A 6,000-nucleotide genomic window follows, 5' to 3' on the forward strand; every position below is an offset into this window, starting at 1 on the left:
ATAACTGAATCACTTACATAGTATATTAGAAGATGGCAAGGGAGATGAGTGGTGTTAGGGCAAGTTTCCAGCACTAGGTAGAAGAGGAAGGCCTCACTGAGAAGATGACATTTGACTGAAGGTCTGAAATTGGTAAAAGTGATGATCCCTATTGACATCAGTGGGCAGAGTGCCATGAGGGCAAGTAAACAGCCAGTGCAAAGGCCCTAAGTTGGGTGCATACCTGGTTTGTACAAAGAAGAAGAACAAGGTGACTAGACAAGGGTGATCATGATGAAGAATAAAAGAGCTTAGTAATATAATGGGGAGCAGAAACTCCCATGAGGTTTTCGACTCTTATAGGAGAAATAGGGAACAAAACTCACTGAAGTTAGTTTTAGTGGAATTTTGAGCAAAACTTTTAATACTAAAGAACTAATTGGAGAAAACACTACATACTGTATTATATAAAGAAAACTTTCAGGTCATTTCAGGAAGGACTGAATGACCTTTCAGTCTTTTACTTCTGACATTGGACTCTGTGGGAAGAAAATGTAATCTAATGGGTTTGTCACTGAGTTATGACTCAGCAGGGTATTTAATCTGCCCTTGATTTAATCTTGAGACACTTGATACCAGGGCATACTGACTATGGTTTCTGCTATGGAATTCTCTGTTCAAGTTATCTTTTAATTTAAAATTAAATTGGAAAGTATCCATTTGCTGCTGTTTTCAACCTTCTGAAAATGCAGAAATGTATTATTGAGCATCCTGCAAAGTGTTCTTGGACTTTTCTATTCTTTCTATACATTTTGGTTTTGGGTAACAAGCAGTAAGGTCAACTTGGTTTTGGCTTTACCATATATGGGAGTCATACATTTCTTATATTTTTATGCTTTTGATTGCATTAATGATATTTGGGATAAATACATACACATAAAGCATCTACATGAATATGTTGAGTGTGGTAAAAAGCATACTCATAATCCATTGTGTCTTTTATGGTGGATACAACTTTCATTCAGTTCATATTTACCTTGCAGTTACTCTGTGTCTGAGGCTATTTTAGGCACTGCAGACACAAAAATGAGCAATTTATAGTTTCTACCTTTAGAGAATTTAAATAAGCAAGTCAACCTAGTGTGAGAAGTTCTATGCTAGAAGTACAAGATGCTACATGAACATATAGAAGGATCATCTCATCCAACTCTGGAAGTGCAGTGTTATTCAGGGTATGTTTCAAATGGTTAAGTACACATACATGCACACACAAACACAAGCTTAGATTTGCTGTTTTAAACATCTAAGACAGCTGCATATGGGGCTGCTTTTCCTAGTGCATAGCCATTTGTAACCAGAGAAATGGGTCTGGTCCTCATTATAAAGTGAAAATCAGGGGATTTTCTTGATAACATAAAATGAACAAATATTTATCATTTCTACAGATTTTGCCAAATTTAGATGATCTGTTCTTTTACCTCATTAGAAACTCCTTATTCCTAGCAGAGTTCCAACCTGGGAGGTATTTGCAGCAGCTACTAGCAAATTTGCAGTTATCTGAAATCAAGCAAATAGTTGACTTCATCATACTGGCTACTAGCAACTGGTACAGAAATTGCTTTATAGATAGATGCCCCATGGGTGAAAGTGAAGAGCCATTTTGAATATAAGCCCCAAAGTTCTGCAAACATAAATAAATAAATAAATAAATAAATAAATAAATAAATAATAAATAAAATTGATTGCCTCCAATAAACAGGTTGGACAGCTTGGATTGGGACTGTCAGTATAGATGTTTCAACAGCAGCAGAGGACAAGCCTCTGGTTTTCCCTTCCTTTGAGTATACTCTAGAGATTACTTGTCATTCTTACTATATTTAGGATCAAGGGTGATGGAAGAAATTGTTCAGTTTTTTCATTGTCTACCTTGTCTGCAGCCAGGACCTTAAGTTTTCCTCATGCATAGGTTTTCTACGTTAACAATCATTTTCCCCCCATTAGAAAACAAGAACTTTCTCTCTTGTGTTTCGTTGACAAGTGGTGGAATTTTGTTTCAGCAAATTTATAGAGACATTTAAATCTCATTCTCTGGAAAAGAGAAGATGATTCAAATCCCAAGATGAAGACTCAACTCTTGCCATGCTGGAAGGAGTTAGAAGAGGTTCATGTTCTTGGATAAAAGTATGTCTATTGGCTACAAATAAATGCAAGAAATACGCAAAAGTTTCCTGGAGGAAGAGTGTAAAGAATCCCTGAAAGATGGGAGGAGTTAGTCCAGGGAGGAGTGGTAGAAGAGAGTTTCAGGCAGAGAAAACAGCTTGTGTTACCTGGAAGCTAGAGGTAACATGGAACCTATAAAGAAATGAAGAGATTCAGGTTCGGTATGGGTTGAATGGAAAATGTGAGAGTACAATATGTAGCCATGCACTAAGAAGGACTGCAGGGCCATTTGTAGAAGAAATGGCTGTTAAACATACAGGTTTGTCCTGGAGAGTTGCAACTCATCTGAATTGTGATTATGGAAAATTTGTGATTTCAAAAGACCTGTCAGAACTCACTACAACCATTTTTTTCAAGAAGAAAATGAGACCCAGATTTTAACTCTTGGGCACAAATTCAAGTCCTAAGTTATTTTCTTTCACGGAATATCACTATAAATAGAGGGGTAAATATGATTATTTAGCCTTAAAAATATATTTTTGAAGACATTTTATGTGGGTAAATATACATATCATATGTCAAAGATATGAAACTCTAAGAAAACAGTCTTTGGGGTCCTATTATATAAAATAAAAATTTCTCAATGTCATAGAAAACAATCTATTTGTAATTTTTCCCAATATTTAGATAATACACGTATCTTCTTGACTTTATTTTTCTCATATGTTACATTTTTTGAATCAGATTAATTTATCTTTCATGTATTTTGAAGTTACCTTAAATTAATCCTTTTTTAACTGGAAATATCATCTTAACATTTTCAGTGGAATTCAGGAGGGTTGGTATCATTTCTACGTCTATATTCTGTGCTACTTGCTTGCCTGTAGTGTGTATGTATATGGTGGTCACTCATAGTAAAGAACAGTGCATTTAACATTAGGCTGGAGGGCTGGTATCTTCATAATAATTATAGGTTTTTGACATATGGCTTTAGATAACTTACATGGCATTGTGTGCCAGAAAGAATGTGCGCCCTAGAGACTCACATCTGAACTTGAAACCCAACTCTTTCATTTAAGACTACAAAAACTCGAGAATTTTAATTGTCCTCACTAAGTGTCAGTTTTCTAATATGTGATGGGAGTAAGTCCATCACTCCAATGTCATTTTGAATATTAAAAATTTAATAAATGTATACAAAGTAACTGCAACATGGTTAACATTAATAAAGAATAGTTGTTGTGGCTAAAATAATAATTAAAAGAGTATTTACATAAGCTAGCAGCAAGTATTTTATGGAGACAGGGCAAAATTTAGAAGTCTCAAGGAAATATCCTTTAAAGAGATGTGATACTTTGTAATGATAATTTAAATGAAATTAAGAGAGAAATGATCAAGTATAATTTTATATATTGTAAAATAAAAATCCAAATGCTTCCAATTATACCTGAGTAGTTGCTCAGTATATAATGAAATAAAATATAATTTGATAAATCTTAACTCTTTTTGTAAAACCTAAAATATAGCTTTATTGCTTCTTTGTTTCTGGAGTTCCTTCTTTTACAATTCATATTAAACTCAGAAATTTCCTGTAACTACATTTCCATGTTCATTGGTCAAAGATTATAAAAGTACTTATAAATCAATAAGCATAGTAAAAATGAGTATATCCTATTCTTGATATGATGTTTATGCATTTTTAATAATGTACAATGCTATTATAGTACATAGTATTATAAAGTTAATATCCACCTAATAAGTCATCTAAATTGTCATCCTAACCTCAATAGGGTTACCTTGTCCTACATCATGAACTAGAAAGAAACTTGAATTCAGAATTTAATTCAGGACATTGATTTCTTAGAATAAGTTAAGAGTTACAATGTAGTGTTGATGAACATGCTATGTCAAGAACTATGAGGAATAACCCTAATTTAAGAGAATGGCTTTTTCCTTGGATGAAATAACATTTATATGACCTTGAAAATCAAGGGATAGTCAAAGGCAAATAATATGAATTTGCAATGGACAAATACAAAAGAATACCAAAGAAGAGAAAAGCCTGAAATAAATGGAAATTACCAGTATTCCAGATAAGAAACTGAAATATATAAACTACAAAGTATATTCTTCTGCTTTTTTAACATACTGAAAAATTTCATACATACACAAAAATAGACAAAATGGTATAATGAGTCCCAGTGTTAACATTCAGCTTCAGTAATTATCAACTGCTATTTAATTTTGTTTTATGTCTCATTCACTTTCCATCTTTTTTCTAGATTAATTAGAAGCAAATCTCAAGTAGCATGTAATTTCATATGAAAATATTCAGTATCAAAGGATATTTTTGAAAACAAACCACAATATCATATTATCCTAAACCAATCAATAACAATATATTAGTATCATCATATAACCAATAGTGTTCAAATTTCCCTACCTATCTCATATATATGTAAGTATGTGTGAATTTATGTGTGCGTATGTGTACACATACATACTTATATACACATATATACACAAATAAATATATATTTTTAAAATCAGGATCTACTACAAAGGTATTGACCTTTTTATTATAACTGGTTGATACATTGCCTTGTTCCATGATATTTAGGCCTAGAACCTTGACCAGGTTCATTTTTAATAGTTAATAAATTGTGTTTTGTATTGTTATATACTTCTATCTGGAAGCATATACTCTCTTGTTATCTCTGTCTCTGATGTTAGCTGCCATTGATAATCATTGTCGATATCAAAGAAACTATGGCCCATGGGCCAAATTGTCCTGCAGCCTCTTTTGGTAAAAAAATTTTTATTGGAACACAGACACATTTATTCATTTATGTTTTCTCTATGGCTTCTTTTATGCTATAACAGCAGAGTTGAAACAGAAACCATACAGACCTCAAAGCCTATAATATTTACCTTCTGATTCATTACAGGAAAAGTTTTCTGACCTCTGGCCTAAATCCATTATTTTGATAGATTATGAAAACAAGCATACTTTAGTTATGTCATTTCTTCTTCTATTAGTAGACTATACTACAGTTAGTATTCAAGTAATCGGACTACTTTAATAAAGAGAAACTTTCCCTCATCGACTATTTGGTTACCTTTAGATGGAGATTGAATGGAAAAATAATATTCAACATTTGATTTGCTAGTTTAAAAAATGAGTTGGTTTCTCAGCATCTTCTAAAAGACAACCATATATTGTTTTTCTTTTAATATTAATATATAGGCTCATTTATTTAAATCTTTTAGGTAATTTTTAATCCATTGCATTTTCATACCTACTGATGTTAGATTGTCTCAGTTCAGGCTATTGACAATATCTTTAAGTAGGCTCCTGAGTCATTTTATTATTACCCTGGTAGTCTTTCTTTCTCTGCTTTGGTATGACAAAATGTTCCAGGAGCATCTTGTATGTATTCTGCTCAAAATGTGGAATCGGCCATTTCATAAGGGATTCTCATATTCTTTTAGATAGAAATGATATTTAGAGACCACTTTGAGGTCTAGAGATTTTATTTGATCATTGCTTCTAGGATTTTTCAGTGGACAGAGCTAAGAAATTTATTTTCTTTTCTTTACTATATCATGGATACTTGTAATTCATATTCAAGACTATATAGTTTTTACTTAATCTCATCTCTCTGATATCTATATCCTGTTTCTCCCTTGCCAAAACTCCTTGGTTCTCAATGGCACCAGGATAATTGTGTATTTGTTTTTTATCCCATAATTCATACACAACAGTCTGAAAATAACAATACCCATTAACTAAAGACTTTGTTTTTTTTTCTCCCCTAGGTTATATTCCACTAGATATAAACAAGTACTACAAGTTTTAGA

Source organism: Homo sapiens, chromosome 2, assembly GCF_000001405.40.
Source record: "Homo sapiens chromosome 2, GRCh38.p14 Primary Assembly".
In the NCBI taxonomy this organism is placed as follows: Eukaryota; Metazoa; Chordata; class Mammalia; order Primates; family Hominidae; genus Homo; species Homo sapiens.